The 21,575-nt window shown below is 43.1% G+C and overlaps 1 long non-coding RNA gene and 1 pseudogene across 1 annotated transcript, besides 1 other annotated feature; one reads left to right on the top strand and one right to left on the bottom strand.

Moving 5' to 3' along the window:
- Positions 427–927: an enhancer, noted in NCBI's record as "H3K4me1 hESC enhancer chr1:167509239-167509739 (GRCh37/hg19 assembly coordinates)". NCBI's record gives its function as "activates a minimal SCP1, AML or CMV promoter by ChIP-STARR-seq in primed H9 embryonic stem cells {active_cell/tissue: H9 hESC(primed)}" and the evidence as "EXISTENCE:reporter gene assay evidence [ECO:0000049][PMID:30033119]".
- Positions 4,842–21,381, bottom strand: AKR1D1P1 (aldo-keto reductase family 1 member D1 pseudogene 1; annotated as a pseudogene).
- LOC107985224 (uncharacterized) lies at positions 5,134–11,390 on the top strand. Its single transcript, XR_001738279.2, has 2 exons — positions 5,134–7,666; positions 10,674–11,390. It is a non-coding gene; the product is annotated as an uncharacterized LOC107985224 (long non-coding RNA).

Raw genomic sequence — 21,575 nt, 5'->3', positions numbered from 1 at the left:
AAATCAGTCACTGGCTGTTTCAAAACTTGAAGTGAATAATACCACTCTTTCTAATTGGCAAAAAGCTCATTGTGTCCTAAAATTCTGGGCATGGCCAGATCTAGCCTTTGTCACAGGTTCTGCCTCAGGGATTTGGTTGCCAGTGTACCTTGTGATAGAATTAGGTTGAGGGCAGCTATTTGGTTTTCTCCCTTTACCCACTTAGTGAGTTTTTTCTCCAGCATTTGGAACCACATAAATACATATCGACATTCAGGTAAGATCTAGTTATCATACAGAGTAAAGTCAACCAGTGTTTCACAGCAGGCAGATTCTTTTATAATTGAATGTGCCAGAATATGTCACTGTTAATATTCCAGTTAGCCACTAGGGGGCACTGGACTACTCTTTGTGCAAGTTTGGGTTTCTTACACAGCCAAATCAAGCCCCTAGGAATAATGCTCTGGGTTAGGAGCTGGAGTAAATGCAGCTCAGCAGGGGCAAGAGGAGAAGCAGAGGCCTGATTTGCTGCTGCTGCTGCTGCTGCTGCTGCTGCTGCTGCTAGGTTTTCCTGGGTTTATCATTCCCTCCACACCATGTGCTTCTACATCAGGCTTCTGGTCTCCTTGCACCCCACCTGCTGCAGAAGGAGAACAGATCCCTGGGCTCAAACAGCTAGGAGATGAGTATCTTAGACTGGGGTGGGGAGGGGGAGTCAGCCTTGGTGCAGAGAGCAGGACAGGCCCTGATAGAGAAAGATAAAAGTGTAAAGAGGGGCCGGGCGCGGTGGCTCACACCTGTAATCCCAGCACCTTGGGAGGCTGAGGCAGGTGGATCACGAGATTAGGAGATCGAGACCATCCTGGCTAACACGGTGAAACCCCATCTCTACTAAAAATACAAAAAATTAGCCGGGCGTGGTGGCAGGCGCCTATAGTCCCAGCTACTCGGAAGGCTGAGGCAGGAGAATGGCGTGAACCCGGGAGGCGGAGCTTGCAGTGAGCTGAGACCGCGCCACTGCACTCCAGCCTGGGCGATGGAGCGAGACTCCGTCTCAAAAAAAAAAAAAAAAAAAAAAAAAAAAGTGGAAAGAGGGAGTAGCTCAGGATCCTGAAGCTACAGAGTCCAGACAGCTGCGTTTGGCAGATGCTATCTTGACCATCCTTCTGCACTCAGCTGGTCAAGGCCATTTGTCTTTACCAACCATGGCCAATAATCATAGTTTATTCTGTGTTCTAGTCCAGGTTCAAAGTCCTTGACAGGTATGTGGGGGAGTGGAGAAAAATCTTTATGAAATGTGACGAAGTTCAATGAAATAAATGCATCAGATATTCTGAGGAGGTTGCTAGTGTGATGTTCCCTTCTTAGTAGTATTTAGACTGAAGATCACAAAGTAATTGAAAAGGAGACTACTTTCTTTTAAGGGAGCATGTTTTTCAGTTTTAGTACTGAGGAAATAATGCTCTAATTTGTGTAATGCTGGTTGGTCAGTGTTTCCTAGGGGAATTCCAAACTGTCACTTCAAAACCAAGTGTTCTATAAATATTATTAGAGAAGATAATTATAATTTAATTATAATTCCTTTTGGAATTAAGGGGGGTACAAATCAGTAAAATGTAAATTTTTCAGTTTTTTCTTTAAGATTTATTGTAAGACATTTGTATAGGAAATGTGGAGAATAAAAAGTTTGACATTTATAACCTCACCAACCAGCATGGTTGCTAATATTTTGGGTGTGTTTTCTTGGGAGTGATGTTTAAACATAGTCAAGATCTTGCTGTTTAATGAATGTGTATCATGCTTCTTTCACTTTATCATAAACAACCGTGTTCCTAGAAGCCATTCACGAGGATGGCTGAGAATGGCTGCAGAATATTTCATCAGATCAATATAAGCAGGCCACCAAATAATGGTCTGCATTGGGACTCTGTTGCTAGTGACAAGAAACCTAAGTCAAAGTTGTTTAAACAAAAAGAGTTCATTGATCTTATATTATTCAGAACTTGGCTTTCATTTCCTGGCTCCTCTTTCTGCCGTGTTAGTTTTCATTGCAGCCAGCAATCTTACCACCAAGAGGATGTGTCCTTCCTAGCTGGGCCCTAGCCATTCCCGAATAATCACTGTGTCTGGGAATGGGGTGCCCTCTTTGGCCGAACTTGAGTAGTGTGGCTTCTCCTGGAGTTGCGGGTTCACTCAGCACCATCAGAATCACAGAGACTGGGAGAATGTAGAAGGGGGACTCCTGCAATGAAAAGAGTGCTTATGCGAACTGAAGGAACACTGAGCAGGCAAAAACCAAAGGCTATTAGCATTTTCTCCAGTTTTTGCATATTTAGGTTACTTTCAGTTTTTTCCTCTTAGAAAAGTCTTACACATAAAATATTTTCTACATTTCTGTTTATTTCCTTAGATTCCCAGCAGTGGAATTTCCAAGCCAAAAGCTTTTGGTACATGTTATAAATTGCTTTTAAGAATGTGTATCAATTATAATGTCCAGTGTTTGCTTTAAAACATTCTAGCAAAGAAAAAAGTATAGGGGATTAGATGAGGAGAAACTGGCAAAATGGTAACAGTTGAAGCTAGGTGAGGTGCCTGGAGATTCATTTTGCTATTATTCTCTTTTGTGTATGTCTGAAAATTACAAAGATTTCTAAATTGAATTGAAAAAAAATAAAGAATTGAGGATCTAGAGAGGTTAAGTGACTTTCCCAAGCCCACCCAGTTCTGGTCTCCAGGCTTTAAATCCTGGCCATTTCTTCTACTCCACACTAAATTGGCATGTGGTCATATTGTCTGAGACACAGATTATGCCAGCGTAAGGCTTCCTGACTCTTCTTCACCCCGCAACACACCAAGGCAGGAATGCAGAGCTAATCTATGTTTGTGGGTGGGGAGGGGGCATGAGTAGTGGGTGCTAGGGAGCTAGATAACAAGTTTGGCTTGGTGATTCAGGAGTTCAATAGAGATTTCTTGAAAGGATGTTTTCAGTAAAATTTTGGAAAATACATAATAATGGGGGAGGGGAGAGAATTTATATCAATGAACAGCCCTGCAAGCAGTGTATGAAAGTGCTTACTCTGCGATGGGTTAAAATAGTGTGTTATTTTAATTGGCAATTCTTAAGGTTACTAATAACATTGAACATTAAAATTTATTTTGGTTTATTTTTCCTCATTGAAAACTGTCAATTTATATTCTTTGTCCACTTATGTTTGGGGGATCATTTTAAAAAATTGATCTTGCTGAATTCTGTATATTCAGTCTATGAAATCATTTAGTTAGTAAATTTGTTGCTAATACTCAGTTTTCCTTTTAAGTTATTTTGTTTAAAACCTATAGATTTTCCATTTCTATAGAAGAAATTAACATAATATTTTTCCCTTGACTTCTTTAAGTTTAATTTCCTTTAAACTTGGTATGTTTGTTTCCTTTGAGAAATTTGATAAATGTCAATTCAGATTTTCAAATTGTTATGTTTAATTTTTATACTTTTTAATCCTTTAGAATGCATTTTGTGTATAATATTCTTCACTTTTTTGGATGACAAACCCAAATTATGCTTAGCTTTTGTAGTCTAGATGTGAACCCAAATCTAAGCATAGCTTTCTCAGAAGTGAGGATGTAAGTGAGTTAGGGCCATCGGCCTAGCCTGCTGGACAGTCTGTCTGAGAGACACTCTGTATCCCTTAGCTTGAACTTGAGGGATTGGAATTGGCAAAGAAGCATGGTTCTGATAATATTCTCATAACCTTTGGAGGTTGTCTAACACACACACACACACTCCTTAGCTAGATTCTCAAGTCCCACCACAATAAAACTTCAGCTGGCTCTCCCAACATTATCTGCCATTCCTCAGTGTATCCTATGCCATGACCAGCCAATCTGATCTGGTTATACCCCAAACTTTTCCCTTTGGACTTTTCCACATGCTCCTCCCTTAGCCAGGCATCTCCTACCTCCTCATCTCCCTCACTTTTCAGGAGTAGGTAGTCCTTTGAAGGCCGAGTCTGCATCTGATATATTTATCACTGTAGCCCCAAAACACCAAGTGTCAATATTCCATTACGTGGAGTAACCCCTCAATGAAATTTTAACAAACGTTTTGCTTACAGACTTTGTACTTTAGTGAATATAGTGGAAGATGGAGGTTGGACCTCCAACTTGCTGTGTGACTTAGAATGAAGTGATTTGTTTCAGTGAAGGCACATTTAATCCCAAGCACTTGGCAAATCTCAAGGAGACTTTGCTTGGCACCCCAGACATCAGCCTCCATTAAGGAATGGCATTCCACATTACAGGCTTGGATGGAGACATCTGTCTTGTGGGCACGCTGAGCAACTCTGCCACAAACGTTCCATGAGGAAGCAAGGGATTTCGAAGTGAGTTAATTATCATGTCTTTGATTTTTCAGATTTGGCGGACTATGTCTCATTGTTCTGTTCCCAAAGCCTGATGTATAGACGCTGCTCAAATACGCTTTTGAGCATGGAATGAGGGCAGAGCAGCTTAACCAAGACACAGTCTCCTCTCTCTCTTTACGGCTGCTCTGAGAAGGGGAATTCAGCACATTATATGCATGCCCAGAGTCGGTCAACACAAACTCTCCTATTTGGTTGCCAAGAGTCATCTGTGACCCTGGGATTTATCTTTGTCTTAGTTTGCCCAGGCTGCCAGAACAAAATACCATAGACTGGGTGGCTTAAACTGCAGGTATTTATTTCCCGCAGTTCTAGAGGCTGGACATCTGCGATCAGGGTGTCAGCAAGAGTGGGTTCTGGGGAGGGCTTTCTTCCTGGCTTGCAGACGGCCGCCTTCTTGCTGTTTCCTCACATGGCAGAGAGAGATCTCTTTCTGTCTTCCTCTTTTTTTTTTTTTTTTTTTTTTTTTGAGACGGAGTCTCGCTCTGTCGCCCAGACTGGAGTGCAGTGGTGCTATCTCGGCTCACTGCAAGCTCCGTCTCCCGGGTTCACGCCATTCTCCTGCTTCAGCCTCCCAAGTAGCTGGGACTACAGGCGCCCGCCACCACGCCTGGCTAATTTTTTGTATTTTTAGTAGAGATGAGGTTTCACTGTGTTTGCCAGGATGGTCTCGATCTCCTGACCTCTTGATCCACCTGCCTCGGCCTCCCAAGGTGCTGAGATTACAGGCGTGAGCCACCACGCCTGGCCTCTCTCTTCCTCTTCTTCTAAGACCACAGTCCTGTCAGATCAGGGCCCCAACCTTCCAACCTCACCTAACCTTAACTACCTCCTAAAGACTCTACCTCCCGATACAATCATAGGGTGGGTTATGGCTTCAACATATGAATTTGGGGGAAAACAATTCAGCTTATAGTAATTGTGTTTGGAAGAGAATAAATGATAAGGCTGCTTTGTTCATCCCAAACCTTTCCTCCTTTGATAACTCCCAGGCCCACCCACGCAAGAAGATTTATCCTCAATGGTTTCTAGTCCATTCCTGCTCTGGACTGTGGTTTTACGACACGCTTTTGCAGGTTGTATCCTGCACAAAGGCCCCAGCTGACAGGGAAGCAGGGGCTGAAACCCAGCCTGAGCTCATGCCTTTGTCCTGGTGTGAGCAGCATCACCCCAAAGGGCATCTTTCCTAAAAATGACACTTTATGGGTTGGTGGCACCTGGCTTTCGGGCCATTTCTTACTTTAGAAGTTTTTGCTTCCTATGCATGGAATCCCAGAGAGGGCAAAAAGAGTGTGAACAGAGCCCAAGGGAGCCCTGGGCTGTGGGGGGCCCCACCGGTGGATGGATGGGGGGAGCAGCCAAGCAGGAGCAGTATAGCGGAGGTTAGGAGCGGTTCGGCTGCGAGAGCACTGGGTTCTGAGCTAGTTGTGCACTTGCTGCACGTGGCCCTGGGCAAATCATTCTACTTCTCAGAGCCTTAGACCCCATCTGTAAAGCAAGGGCAATACTTCACAGGTGGGAGTACAGATTAGCAAAAATGTCCACAAATCACTTAGCACAGTGCCTGACACAGCAGTGATCCTTGTTAGGGCCAGTAGAAGAGGCATCCTCAAGCTCTGGGGGTCCTCATTGCATCCTCTCTGGGAGACTGGAATGTATCCTTGAAGAACAGCAGAGTAAGTGTCAAAATCAAGCACAGTGGCTCTGCAGTGGGGCTGCATAGGAACACATCCTCGTTCCATCACTATTTCATCATGGACAAGGTGCCTCCCCTGTGTGGGCTGCAGGGTTTTCATCAGTAAAATGGAGAATAAAAATAGGACCTGCCTCCCTGGTTTGTAGGAAAAAGTTCGAGCTAATACGTAAAAAGTACACAGAACACTATCCAATATATCAAACATTCCATAAATACTGGTTGCATTTTTTTTCTTTAGCTTCAAATATCGGTTGGTAACTACAGGTTGTTTTCACAAAAATAAAAGTTATAATCGTCAAATTACTTAATTTTATAAAATATGTTCAATCGTGGCGTTTCAGCTAACTCTTGCAACAAGCCCTAGAGATAGGCAGGACACTCTTTATTTTTATTTCGTGGAGGAGGTTGGATTCGCAAATGGTTACCTTGGGCAAGTTTACACGTGTCAGACCCATCCCTTCAACCTAGCTCTGTCTCCAAGAATCCGGTGACCCCTCAACTGCTGGTGGCACATGGGTCCTTTGAAGAGATGTCTTCTCACTTGTTTTAGAGGTGCATCGTATAGAATTGGCAAGTGCCATGTGCTGGAAAACACCAGGTTTTCATGAGGAGCACACTCACATCTTTGAGGGCAGGCAGTATGAACTCTGAAGTCAAGCGGCAGCGTTCAAATTCCTGCTCAACCACTTAGCCAGGTGGCCTTAGGCAAGTGCTCCTCAAGAGGTTCCCCTCTGTGAATCAGGGACGCTGCCTAGGATAGATGTTGGTTATTGGTATTACTTAGTATCCATCCAGGTGTGGAATGTCCTGAGGCTGGGAAGGCTGGAGACCGCAGTTCGACAAAACAGCCGCTAGAGGTCCCCATGGAGCCGCATTGAACATCCAAGAATTCTGTTTAATCCTCCTGTCTTGGGCCAGACCAGCTGGCCCTGCTGGAACTGAGGGCCCCTCTTTGTCCTGATAAGCACTCTTCCTTCCCTTAAAGCTGGTGACCCTTCTAAGGGGCTGTCAAGGGCTAATGCTGAGACTCACAGGTTCCTGACCTTCAGTCCCCAGAAGTGGGCCCTCAGGTTTAATCCTGAGGCGAGGGGTTGCAGGCCTGTTCCAGTGGATTCCCAGGGGCCAGGATGGGCTCTGTGAGGACTCCAGGTCAGGCTGTCTCCACCCTGGGCAAACTCAGGCAACCTTTTCGTCTTTCACTTTTAGAAAAGACAAAAATGTAATCTGCATGAAGTCAGGGTGTCTTGGCAGACCCTGCAGGCCAGGAGCCAGACCCTCATAGGGAAGGAACCCTGGACATGGGCCATCACTGCATGCCTGGGATGTGGCCCAGAGGCAGCACACAGCACAACCCTGTGGGGAGGTAACAGCTAGTGGAGCTGAAAGAGAAAGGGGCACTGGAGAAGCAGGAATCATTATACGAAAATTTAATTTCCAGCTGGAAGACATCTTGTGGAGACCATCTAGTTCAGCTTCTTCATTGTATAGCTGAGGACACCCAGGCCCAGAGAGGGGAAGTGATTTGGTCAAAGTCACACAGCAAGTAAAGGACAAAGCTGAGAGCAGATCCCAGGTTTGTGCATTCCCATAGCAGCTGCTTTCCACACACCCCACTGAGGGAAGACCATTTGGTCAAGTCAGAGCACGGGGGGTGGGGGGTTTTAAAAAGCAGAGCTGAGGAACTTAGGAATACACACTGCTTAGCACATGGTTATTAGCTGGTCCTTCAGATGCCCCAGGGTCTCAGCGTTCGAAGCTTGCTCATTCCACAGGATAATTTTGTGTTTGCTCAGGTGCCCAGAAAATGCCTTTTTAAGATTTCTGAGAATAAACCCATCACCTCCAACAGTCCCAGGAATTGCAACTGTCTATTCATAACGAATGAGAGGCAGGTGCATTAAATTCTGACCTAGTGCTCAAGAACTTTGGAGGGATAAAAAGAGGAAGCACACAGGTCCCTATTCTGGGAATGTGGGGCCTCCCTCACCTCCCCATAGGAGGGCTTGTCCACACCACCTCCTCTTTCCTCCTCTTCATCTCCCACCCTTTCCACCAAGACAGTGACCCCATTCCCCATGCTGGGTTCCAATCATTCCTGGAAGGATTTTTCCCAGAGCAGTTGCCAGCAAACATTTTACAGTCCTCTCCTCCTCTCTGTGATGTAACATTTCCCAACACCTTCTATATACTAGGCACATAACCTACATCATCTTACTCATTCCTCCAACAAGACAGTACAGTAGGCATTGTTAGCCAATGTGGGACAAAAGATTTCAGATATTTATTAACTTGTTCAAAACATACAGCCAGCTAGTAGATGGAATTTGGAATTTGAACCTAGGTCTAACCTGTTCTAAAGCTCATGTTCTTCCACTACTGTGAACCAGCACCCAGAAAACTTGAGTTTTAGTTTTGATTCTACCAGCTTTGTGACCTTAGAAAAATAACTTAATTTTAAGTTTCCTAAACTACAAAATGGAAACTGGCTGGGCATGGTGGCTAACTCTTGTAATCCCAGCACTTTGGGAAGCTGGGGCAGCCGGAGTTTGAGACCAGCCTGGCCAACATGGTGAAACCCCATCTCTACTAAAAATACAAAAAATTAGCCGGTTGTGGTGTGGGGGGCCTGTAATTCCGGCTACTTAGGAGGCTGAGGCAGGAGAATCGCTTGGACCTGGGAGGCGGAGGTTGCAGTGAGCCGAGATCGCGGCATTGCACTCCAGCCTGGGCAACAAGAGCAAAACTCCATCTCAAAAATTTTTTTTTTTTAATTTAAATAAATAAATAAATAAAATGGAAACGGTACACCAATATTGACAACCTTACTGAGTCATCAAGATTAAAAAGACAATATGGCTGGGCATGGTGGCTCATATCTGTAATCTCAGCACTTTGGAAGGCCGAGGTGGGAGGATCCGTGAAGGCCAGGAGTTCAAGACCAGCCTGGGCAACACAGGGAGACCCCTATCTCTACTAAAAAAAAATTAAAACATTGGCCGGGCATTGTGGTGTGTGCACCCGTAGTCCCAGCTACTCAAGTGGCTGAGACGACAGGGTAGCTTGGCCCCAGGAATTTAAGGCTGCAGTGAGCTATGACTGCACCACTGCACTCTAGCCTGAGTGACAGTAAAACCCTGTCTCAAAAATAAATTTAAAAAATACAATATATTAATATGTGAAAATGACACACAAATGTAAGACACCCCCATTAAAGCAAAAAAGGTTCTTTTTCCAATTAAAGGGGCTTGGCTATCAATAGCAATATTTAGTAGGTTATATATAACTATAGTTGACCCTTGAGCAACATGAGTTTGAACTGCATGGGTCCACTTATGCATGGATTTTCTTCTACCTGTGCCACCCCTGAGATGGCAAGAGCAACCCTCCTCTTCCTTCTCCTCAGCCTACTCAATGTGAAGACAATGAGGATGAAGACCTTTGTGATGGCCAGGCACAGTGGCTCATGCCTATAATCCCAGCACTTTGGGAGGCTGAGGCAGGAGGATGACCTGAATTCAGGAGTTTGAGACCAACCTGGCCAACATGGTGAAACCTCCGTCTCTACTACAAATACAAAAAATTAGCGGGGCATGGTCGTGGGCACCTGTAATCCCAGCTACTCAGGAGGCTGAGGCAGGAGAATTGCTTGAACCAGGGAGGAGGAGGTTGCAGTGAACTGAGATCACTCCACTGCATTCCAGCCTGGGCAACAGAGTGAGACTATGTCTCAAAAAAAAAAAAAAAAAAAAGAGAAAGACCTTCATGATGATCCACTTCCACTTAATAAATAGTAAATGCATTTTCTCGTACTTATGATATTCTTAATAACATTCTCCTTGCTTTAGCTTACTCTCCTGTTAGAACACAGTATATAATACATACAGCATACAAAATAGGTGTTAGTTGACTATGTTGTTAGTAAGGCTTCTGGTCAACAGTAGGCTATTAGTAGTTAAGTTTTTGGAGAATCAAAAGTTATACGCAGATTTTTTTTACTTCATGGGGTTCAGCAGCCCTAACTCCTGAGTCATTCAAGGGTCAACTGCAATTCATCTTATCCATTCATAGTATCTCTCTAATCTTACCCATGTCCCCAGCTTATTTTTTTTGCCATCTTTCACAGTGGCTTTTGATAGAAAATCTTTGTGCAGCCTTTTACTTTCATTTTTTTTTTTCTGGAGTGTTTGGACATTAGGTGTGTTTTTCCTCCTTAGTGTCTCACTAAAAAAAAGCCCCAAAATTGTGCGGTTAATTTTTTAAAGGGCAATTAGTCTTTTGAGGGGTAGGGCGCACTAGGTAAATCTCCCATCAAAGTGGATTTGTGCCAGCTGTGAAGTTTGCAAACATGTCTTTAATAGCCATGCAATTTCAGCATCTGTAATACTCAAGACCATTTCAATTCCAAGTTGCAGAATCAAAGTCAAATAACTTAAGAAAAAAGCTATTGGCTCGTGAGATGGAAAAGCCCCTGGGACAGGCAGCTAGGCATGGCACGATCCAGGTTCTCAACAATGCAGCAAATGCTCTGCCTGTCTTTATGTCTCTTGCTCAGCTGTTCTCTGTGTTGGCTTCATTCCCAGGCAAGCTTCTTCCATCTGGTGAAAAAGATGAACACCAGGCGTGTCTGATCTTCCCAGAGGAAGAAGGGAGCATCTTTTTGAACAGCATTTCTGTGAGAAATGGGATCCTAAGGTGGCCTCCAAGATTGACACGCCATGGTACAATCTTCGTGATCGTAAGAAGAACCTGTGAATACGATGAGCTATCACTCCTGTGCTTTTGCGGTTTTATGTGGCAAAGGGAGAGTGTTCTGGGTGGGCCTGACCTGATCAGGCATATCCTCTAAAATCAGAGTTTTCTCCAGCTGGTTCCAGAAGACTAAGTCAGAGAGATGCTCTGTGTTTGGGCCAGAAGCAAGCAAACATCCACATTGTGAACTGCCTATGGGGGCCACCTGGCAAGGAACTGCAGGTGTTTTCTGGGACCTGAGAGCATTCCCTGGCCAATCATTAGCAGGAAAACAGGAACTCACTCCTATAACTGAGAGGAAATAAAATTTACCAACAACCAATGAGCCTGGAAGAAGACCCTGAGCCTCAAATGAGAACTGCAGCCCCAGCCAACACTGATTTCAGCCTTGTAAGTACCTGAGCAGAGAACTCAGCCATGCTATATCAGGACTTCTGACCTACATTACTGTAAGATCATAAATGTGTTGTTTTAAGCCACTACATTTGTGATAGTTTGTTATGCAGCAATAGAAAGCTAATACAACTTCCAAAAATTCTACTGTGTAAGTCAGGATCCTTTGGTTGCAAGCAACAAAAATCAGCTCTGGATAGCTTAAGCAAAAAAGGAAATTGGCTGGAACAGTGTTCGTGTAGCCACAGAATATGAGCAACTTCTGGGATGGATCCAAGAAGGAGAAACAAACAAGGGTTATGTCCAGGTCTTGTTTCATTCTGTTAAGATTTAAAGTCCGGGGAGAAAGCAGCTGATTGACATTACCTGATAGCCTCATCAAGCGATTATAATCGGCCGGCACGGTGGCTCACGCCTGTAATCCCAGCACTTTGGGAGGCCAAGGCAGGCAGATCACCTGAAGTCAGGAGTTCGAGACCAGCCTGACCAATATGATGAAACCCCGTCTCTACTAAAAATATAAAAATTAGCTGGGAGTGGTGGCAGGCACCTGTAATCCCAGCTACTCAGGAGGCTGAGGCAGAGAATTGCTTGAACCTGGGAGGTGGAGATTGCAGTGAGCCGAGATTGCACCACTGCACTCCAGCCTGGGCGACAGAGAGAGATTCCATTAAAAAAAAAAAAAAAGAGATTATAATCGTGGAGAATAGTTGACTCTTCAAAGCAAAATTGATACTATTGCTAGAAGATGGGGGTCTTGATGCCAGGCCTACAAAAACATCCCTGCATTAATATGTTCTTCCCCTAATCAGTTACAATGGCGAGGAAGACAGAATACTCTAATGGAGCAGGTTTAGTCATGTGACCATCCCTGAGCGCAGACAGGCTAGGGGTTAGCTCCACTTGTACTGCATGGTCTGGCCAGGGTTAATATGGGGGTTGGGGGGAGGAAGGGATGCTGGGTGTAAATATAAGCATATAATGTCTATTATGGCATCCCGTTTACTGAGAATCAGAGCACTTCAGTTGCAGTCTGGACTCTGAAACTAGCTAATTCTATATCTTCAGTAAGTCATGTTACCTTTCTGGGTCTCAATTCTCTCATTTACTAAATAAAGGTTAGATTAATGATTTCCAGTCCCCATCTAACTGGGACAATGGTCTGTGACTCAGTATTTAACACAAAGGTATAAATAACTGATAAGGCTTTATATATCTCTCAAGGGCATTTGCTTCTGAATGGAAGAAAAGTGTTTAGTCAGTGGTGTGCTGGGGCATACAGAATGAACTTTCATGTATAATGTCTGCCCCCACCACAGCCAATTTCAAGTTACCAATGATTTAACAACCAACTGGGAAAATTCCTGAAAATTTAACAGTTGGCTCTCATGTGCTGATATCAGCCAGCTCCCACACACCATTATTATAATTTTAGCCAAAAGAGTGACTCTCTAAGCATGTATTTTTGGGTGGATATTAGTAGGTGAGTGGAGAGGGTGTGTTTTAGGGATCAGAAATCCACTGAAATTACATTCTATATGCAGTCATATCCTGGGCCACACTCAAAGTCAGCCAAATTCAGCTCAGATAAAGACTGGTGCTGGGCGTGGTGGCTCACACCTGTAATCCCAGCGCTTTGGAAGGCTGAGGCAGGTCGATCACTGGAGCTCAAGAGTTCAAGACCAGCCCAGGCAACATGGTGAAACCATGTCTTTACAAAAAATACAGCAGAAAAAGTTAGCTGGGTGTTGCAGTACACACCTGTGATCCTAGCTACTCAGGAAGCTGAGGTGGAAGGATCGTTTGAGCCCAGGAGGTCGAGGCTGCAGTGAGCTGTGATCATGCCACTGCACTCCAGCCTGGGGTGACAGAGTAAGACCCTGTCTCAAAAAAAAAAAAAAAAAAAAAAAAAAAAAGGACCAGCAGTTACTGATATGTCAGTTTCCTCAGCCTCTACTCCCAGCCGGTGGGGGCTCCTTTAGGCTCTTTAGGCTCTGCCCTCTCCTCCAGCTTTGGTCAGACATGAAAGAGTCATGGAGCCCAAGGAGTCCATCAGAGCCATAAGATGTGGATCTGTGTGCAGGTGGTGGTGGGAGGGGGCCATGCTTGGCCCAAATGTAGCATCTTAGAAGGCAGATTCTACCTGGGATTGTCACTAAAGGGATGCTTGGCCCTTTCTGCAAACCCATTCCCCTCATTCCCCTCTCGATAACAGTAGTTGGGGTCATGCCCCCTCATTCCTTCAGTAAATTTTAACGGAGCACCTTTTATGTTCCAGGCACTGCATTCAGTTCTGGCCATTCAAATTGCCTAAGACATGGTCTCTAACCCCGGGGACTGAACTTCCCAGAGAGCATTTAAATTTTGTTTCCTGCTGCTCTCTACCCCATCTGGTTTTCGGGTCAGGAATGGTCTGGTCTCTCTCTCTCTCTCTTTCTTTCTCTCTCTCTCTCTCTCAAATTAAATACCAACTATGTACTGGACACTAAAGATTACAAAATGAATAAAACTCCGTCCATGCTCTTGAAGAGCTTGGATTATCATTGTGTGAACATCTGTGTAAACAAATAACCAAGGCAAAAAGTGACAAGTGTTTTTTAACACAGCACTAAACAATATGCGATGGACATAGCTAATAGGTTTAGTAGGTGTGAGCCAGGCTTCACAGTGAAGGGATATTTACACCTTGTCCGAGACCAAGCTCCTGGGTTGGGGAAAGGAGAGAAGGGCCTTCAGGCAAAAGGATTCCTGTGAGCCAAGGCTTGCGGTCACAAAAGGAGGGGCTCATACACAGGCTATGACTGGGGAAACCTCGGGTTGAGGCTGAAGAGACAAGGCTCCACCGAGGTGTTTGGCTGGGATCCTGCCAGCAGAAATGCACTTTGTGAGGGAATAGCCTGTGTGGGCCTCCAGCTGCTTGCCAGCCCTGGACCAGTCAGCTGAAGGGAGGCACAGGGCCTGGGTCAACATGCTGGGGTCTCAAGGGCTAGGGAAGTGCTTCCCCTCACAGGGGTCTTGGGAGAGGCTGTCTCTGGACACCCCAAGGGACAGAGACCAATCCTCTTTTTTGTGCTGTTTTCTCTGATGATCAGGAGCCAGGGAATTGCGAGGCTCAGTGCCGAGTCCCTGTTGCCTAGAAGGAGCTGTTGTAGAGAAAGAACCCCAGGGAAATCTGAATCCTGGGAGGGCCCCTTGGGAGCAAGTGGTTGTGGGAAGAGACCCAGCTCACCTGAAGCACGTTGGCGCCTCAGAACAACCTCTCCTCTAGGTGCAGACAAAGCTTTCCCACTAAATTCTGATGAATCGACCCAAAGAGCAAAAAGGGGTATTTATTGGCTCCTGTGACTGACAAGGGGGCAAAATGGGAACCATCCTTCTCTTCCTGTCTCTGGGCTCTGCTTCCCTCTTGTTGGCCTCATCCCGTCAGGCTCTCTCCCGGTGGGAAATAGACGGCCTCCACTGCTGCAGGCTGCACTACCCCACGGTCACCATTCTCTACGGGAAAATGGTGCCCCTTTCCCTGGAGTTCCAGCAAGAATCTTGAAAATGGCTCTCATGGGCCCTCCCTGAGCCGGTCTTTGTAGACAGAAGGATATGATGCCTGATTGGCTGTCACAGGGTCCATGCCCACACCGGGAGCCAGCCAGCGGCATACATCCCACTCCGTTGAGGGAATATGCGCTCCCCTCCAAGGGAAACGAGGTTGCTTCCAAAAAAGGGAGGGGAAAGATGCTGGACAAGTTAAAATAATTACTTCACCAGCATTACTTATTTGGAGAATTATGAGAATTTATTTAGCACCAGCATCTTCCTCTTACCACATGGCTGCTTATATTCTGCTTGGCCCTACACTTTAAATTGTTCCTGCTTGTAGCTGTAGCCATTTGGCTTCCATCAGTTCAGTCCCAGTCCTGAGCCCCAGTCCCTTCCCCCATACCTTGTCTTTACATTTTCTTTACGCTACCCAATTTTCCAGTCAGCCCCTCAATGGCAGGGGCCCTTCTCTGTAATGACAATGACAACTTTTCCAGCTAAAATCTCCATTCACCAGCTTCTGGGTTTCCCTTACTGTGCTCTTCCTGAGAGGAAGTTGGGGCATCCTCCTACATAGTATTGGACTTCCTGCCATCCTGAATGTTACCAGCCACCCTCCTACTCATTCATCCATCTAGCCACTCACTCACTGAGTCGCCCAACCATCCATCCATCCAACCATGCATGCATGCATCTATCCATCTATCCATCTACCCACCCACCAAAATATATCAGGAAGCAGGGATTCAATCATGAGGAAGAGCCAGAGCTTCCACCATGAGAAACTCACAGCTGCAGGTCATCATGTTCTATCCAGCTTCCTCTCAGCTCCAGCTCTGGGCCTTGCCTGTGTGCCCCTCTGCAAAGCGTGAGCCTCGTTCTAGTTGCCAACCCCATCCCACTGCACACACCAGGGCAAGGCTGGCTGTCGTGGACAGTCATTGTTCTATATATGCCCAGAATCCTTTCCCCTCATTTCTTCTATTACGAATGATTCTGCTAAGGCTGTAAACCAGAGTTTTCCAGCTCCAATCTCGTCTTGACCCCCTGGAAGCACTGGTTTATCCAAAAAGTGGGCATATGGCCCAAGGTGGGCCAATTAGGGCAATTCCTGAGATTGATATGGGGATATTGAGTATTTTGTTATCATTTGGTATGTCACAATCCTCCCAAACTCAGTGGCTTAGAACGACAACCGTTTTAGTTCATGATTCTGTCGGCCAGCAACTTAGGCTGGACTCAGGCAGTGCTTTGTCCGGTCTCATCTGGTGTCACCCACGTGGCTGCAGTCCTCTGTTGGTTCAGCTGGGTCTGGATGATGTAAGAGAGCCTTACTTGTCTGGAAGTCAGCGCTGGCTGTCAGCTGTGCCACGTGTCTCCAGCGGGTTAATACAGGCTTCTTAGTGTGGAGACTGGATTCCCAAAGCGATAAGAAATATGGCAAGTTCCAATGTGCAAATGCTATATAAGTCTTTGAGTTTTTTAAGATGAGAGAAATAACATGCTTGTATACAGATAGGAATGATCCAATTTAGAGGAAAATACTGACATGCAGGAGAGAAAAAAGAGAATATCTGGGGCAATTTCCTTGGGAAGCAAAGGAAGACGGAACCCAGTGGAGAAGCTGATAGCAATCTGATATGTATTCATTGTAATTTTAATTTCGATTTTTTCCTACTATGAGTGATTTTGGTAATCTTTCATTCATTTGACAGCTATGTGTTACTTTTTTTTCCCATGAACTCTCTGTTCAAGTCCTTTTCTCATTTTTTTAACGTTGTTTTAGACTCCCGTCAGCTTGAACATTTCACGAGGGCAAGGATTTTGTCTATTTAACTCCCAGTTATATCTTCAGTGTATAGTACCATGCTTGGCACCTGGTGGACACTTGAAAATTATTTGCTAAAACTGAATAATGTTTAGGTGCTCTTTATGTATTAAGGAACTAAGCCCTTTGTCACAGTGCTGCAAGTACCTTTCTTAGTTTGTGGTTTGAAATCTGTTACAACAGATTAATTCAGATTTTGTAGAATTTCCTGTAAGTAGAATCTTTCAATATGTACTCTTTTTGCCTGGCCTCTTTCACTCAGTATATTGATTTTGAGATTCAGCCATGTTGTGTGCACTAGCAGTTTATTTCTTTTTATTGTTCAGTATTATTTCATTGAATGGATATACCATAATTAGTTTATCCATTCATTTGTTGATAAATATTTGGGTAGTTTTCCAGTAGTTTATTACAAATAAAGCTGCCATGAGTGTTGATGTACAAATCTTTATATGGACATATATATATATATATATATTTTTTTTTTTCTCTTGGTTAGATACATGAGTGCAATGGCTGGATCATATGGTGAGTGTATGTTTAACTTTCTAAAGAAACCGCCAGATCTTTCAGAAATTGTTGTACCATTTTACATTTCCCCCATCCGCGTATGAGAGTTTCAGTTCTTTCATATCCTGGGCAACACTTGATAACGACCAGTTATTTAATTTTAGCCATACTAACAGGTATGTAGTAGTATCTCATTGTGGTTTTAATTTGTTTTTCTTTAATTACTAATGATGTTTAGCATCTTTTCACTTGCTTATTGGCCATTCATTTATCTTCTTTTGGGAATTGTCTATTCAAACTTTGTGCCCATTTTCTTATTGAGTTGATTACTTTACTATTGAGTTAAAATAGTTCTTTACATATTCTGGATATAAGTCCTCTGTCTGATGTATGTGTTTGGACATAATTTCTCCTAGTCTATGGCTTCTTTTTCATTTTCCTACTGCTGTCTTTCAATGAACAAAGCAAAAACTTTTAATTTTGATAAAGTCCAGTTTACCAATTTTTTCTTTTATGGTTTTTACTTTTTGTGTTCTATCACAAATATTTTTCTCCTATGTTTTATTCCAGAAATTTTATAGTTTTGGGTTTTACATTTAGGTCTATGAACCATTTTAGATAATTTTTGTGTATGGTATGAACCGAGGGTCAATTTTTTTTCCATGTGGATATCCAGTTGTTCTACCACCATTTGTTGAAAAGACTACCATTTCCTGCTGAATTTTTCTTGTACCTTTATTGAAAACCAATTGACCATATATGTTTAAGTCTATAGTACCCTAAGTACTGTATGATAATTACACCCCTTTTATTGTTTGATATCTGGCAGGGTTATTTCACTCTCTTTACTCTTCTTTGCAAGAATTTTCCTAACTATTCTTGTGTTTGTTTTAGCATTATTTTTGTATTGAGATATAATTCATATAACATAAAATGTGTCATTTTAAAGTGCATACTTCAATGGTTTTTAGTATATTCACTCTGTTGCACACCATCACCACTGTCCAATTCTAGAACATGTTCATCATCTCAAAGGAACCCTCATAGCTATTGACAGTCCCAATTCCCCACTCTCCCCATCCCCTGGCAACTACTAACCTGCTTTCTATCTCTATGAATTTGTTTATTCTGGACATTTTATATAAATGGAATCATACACTATGTAACCTTTTGTGCCTGGCTTCTTCCGCTTAGCATAATGTTTTCAAGGGTCATCCCAGTTGCAGCATGTAACAGTGCTTCATTCTTTTTGATGGCTGAGTCATATTTCATTGTTTGGATACGGCGCATTTGCTTATCCATTCCTAGTTGTGGCCATTCGAATTGTTTCCAGTTTAGGGCCACTGTGAATAATGCTGCTATGAACATTCCTTTACAAGTTTTTGTGTGAGCCTAGGTTTCCGATTCTCTTGGGTATATATCTAGGAATAGAATTGCTGGGTCACATGATACTATGTTTAACTTTTTGAGGAACTGCCAAATTATTTTTCACAAGGGCTTCACCATTTATATAACCCACAAAAATGTATGAGAATTCCAGTTTCTCCACATCCTTATCAACACTTGTATTGTCTGTTTTCTTATTTTAGCTATCCTAGTGGGTGAGAAGTGGTATCTCACTGTCGTTTTGATTTGTATTTCCCTAATGACTAATGATGTTGTACATCTTTTCATGTGCTAATTGGCCATTTGTATGTCTTCTTTGGAGAAATGTCTATTTACATCTTTGGCCAATTTTTAATTGGGTTATGTTTTTTATTGTTGAGTCATAGGGGTTATTTATATATTCTGAATCCTAGACCCTTATCAGTATATTTACAAATGTTTTCTTTCATTCTGTGGGTTGGGTTGTCTTTTCACTTTCTTCGTTCTTTCTTTTGTCTTTCTTTGTCATCATATTTCATGATTTCTTGTGAACAAAGTATTGTCTAGAGGACAAGCATTGTAAGTATTAACATCGGAATCAGTGAAAACAATCAGTATAGATCAAGTTTTTAAGTGATACTTTCTCAGAAATGTATGTGTACAGGTCATTGAAGATTATCTATAAGCAATTGGTCTTGGAAAAGCATAATTTTTGAAGAACTCTCTTGCCCTGTGAGAGTGATCTAATATGAATGAATAAAATATATTTCTGTAGTTGAACTGAAAATAGGTACATCTCTGTTGTTGAATTCTAATAATTTTATTCTCTTTAAAAATTTACATAGAGTACAATTACCAGTGTTCTTTTGAACGTGCTATTTTCTCAAAATTCACATAGCTATCCCAATAACACTCTTAAAGACTTAAGCATAGTACTTTTATAAAGCCTCTTCTTTCAATATGTCTCCTAAAGTCCCCTTATAAAATGTCTTGTTTTAAAATAGCCGTCTTTGGAATACTTTATGATGCAGAGTTTTATTTATGTATGTTGGTTGTTTCAAGCCACTTCACGTAATGGTGATTCGATGATCAATGTGGCAAGAGTGAATATAAGACAATGTAAGTATGGACCACTAGTTATGTTGAAACTCAGACCCTCTGAGGATGCAAAAGAGAACCAGCAAGTATGCATCCTTCAAGCTGAGTAAAAGCTAAACAAACATACATCGGATAGAAACAAACAACAATAAAATCCTTATGGCTTTGTTGATCACTGTGGTGTTTAATTGACTCTATTTTAAGACTTTTCTACACTTAGCCCTCTCTCCCTACTCAAGGTGCAGCAAATCACTTTTTTGTTAATAATGCATGTCTGGATCTTATCTTGGCTGTGTCTGTATTGCAGTCAATGGTTCAAGTCCTCAAGGCCACTGCCAGCACCCTGGCACATGGGGGCCCTCTGCTGTCTTTGTTGTCCTGTTGACTGCTAAAGAACTCAGGCTAACAATGTTACTACCCACATTCATGAGTTACTTGTTGCTGGTTGTCATCTGTTGCCTTTCAAGTCTTTTCTGGAATCTAATTGTTTTTTGTTTGTTTGTTTGTTTTGTTTTGTTTTTGGTCTGGAACCCAGAAGACATTTATCTAATAAAATATTAGGTGATAATTTCCTAAGAATTTCAACAGATTTAAACATTTTGTCTTTAACATGGGTGAGTTAAAATCACTTACACTATACAAAAGTTAAGCATGTTTCCATCACCACTTTTCAGATAATAAAACCTCTTTCATTTCCGTGTCCATGGGGAACTATGCACCCTAAGGTCCTCCACACGTGGGAGGGGAGAATCTGTTCAGGAACTCTCTGAAGTCAGTATTCATCAAGAAATGGGTATTTGGGATGATCACACCACATGAGCATTTCTATGAAGCGGACATTTTCACTCCAGGCTTCAATGTCCTTGATTCAGTGAGAGAAAAGTCAAAGGCCTGAAGGTTTTCCTTGATCTTTTCAGGATTAAAGCTTTTAGGAATGACAACCACCCCTTGCTGGATGTTGAAACGCAAAATAACTTGAGCTGTGATCTTATTGCACCTTTTTAGAAGTGCATCCTTTAACGAAGGCAGAGAAGACATATTTGTCCAGGTTGGATTCCTAGTGGTCCCCAAAGGGCTATATGCAATCATGACAATGTCATGTTGTTGGCGAAATTTCAAAAGTTTTGGTTGGGTGTAATATGGGTGGCACTCAACCTCGTTGCTGACTGGCTTGGGTTTGAGTCCTGGGTTGTTCTGGATGAGCTCCAGCTGGCCTGCTGTTAAAACTGGATACTCCGAGGGATTTCACCAAGCCAGCATCTTTACAAGCTTCCGAAGTCTCCCAAGTGGCACACAGATTTGACTTGTGATATAACCATTTGCCATTCTCACCTATAGGGTAGATTTTGTCTTCTGGCTTAGCGGCCATGGGTATTTCAGTGATGTAAAGATCCACACAATCTAGCTGGAGGACCTTGAGCATCCTCTCTAGGCTCGGGCAGACCAGCTCTGGGTTGTGATTTGTAGCCCACAGTTTTCCACAGTAGAAGATATCCTTCCTCTGCACCTTTCCTTCTGCTATTTTCCCCCTGATGGCCTCCCCAGCTGTGTCTTCATTTTGGTATATGTAGGCTTCATCAGTGTGTCAGCACCCCAGACCAATGACAACCTTCACTGATGAAGACTCAGACTAAATGTAGAGACAGACTACTTGGGCTGTAGTGACATCTCTACCTACCACCTACTTGCTGTGTGGCCTTGAGTAAGTCATCGGCCCCCTTAGGGGTCAATTTAGGCTCTGAGTAGGTACCAAGTCTGATGATGGGAATGCTGTTTCCATCACTTAGAGGTATGCGGTGATTTGCAGGACTCACTTTCTTCATAGTGTCCTTTGATGCACAAAAACTTTTAATTGTGATGAAGTCCAATTTATCAATTTTATGTTGGATTGCTGTGACTTTGGATTATTGGCTATTCTTGTACATTAATTTTTTTCATATCAATTTTGGAATCAGCTTAACTTGTTCTAAAACTTTTTGTTGGTATTTTCAATGAAATAGATTGA

Source organism: Homo sapiens, chromosome 1, assembly GCF_000001405.40.
Source record: "Homo sapiens chromosome 1, GRCh38.p14 Primary Assembly".
Lineage (NCBI taxonomy): Eukaryota > Metazoa > Chordata > Mammalia > Primates > Hominidae > Homo > Homo sapiens.
This window is presented reverse-complemented; position numbering and strand designations above follow the sequence as displayed.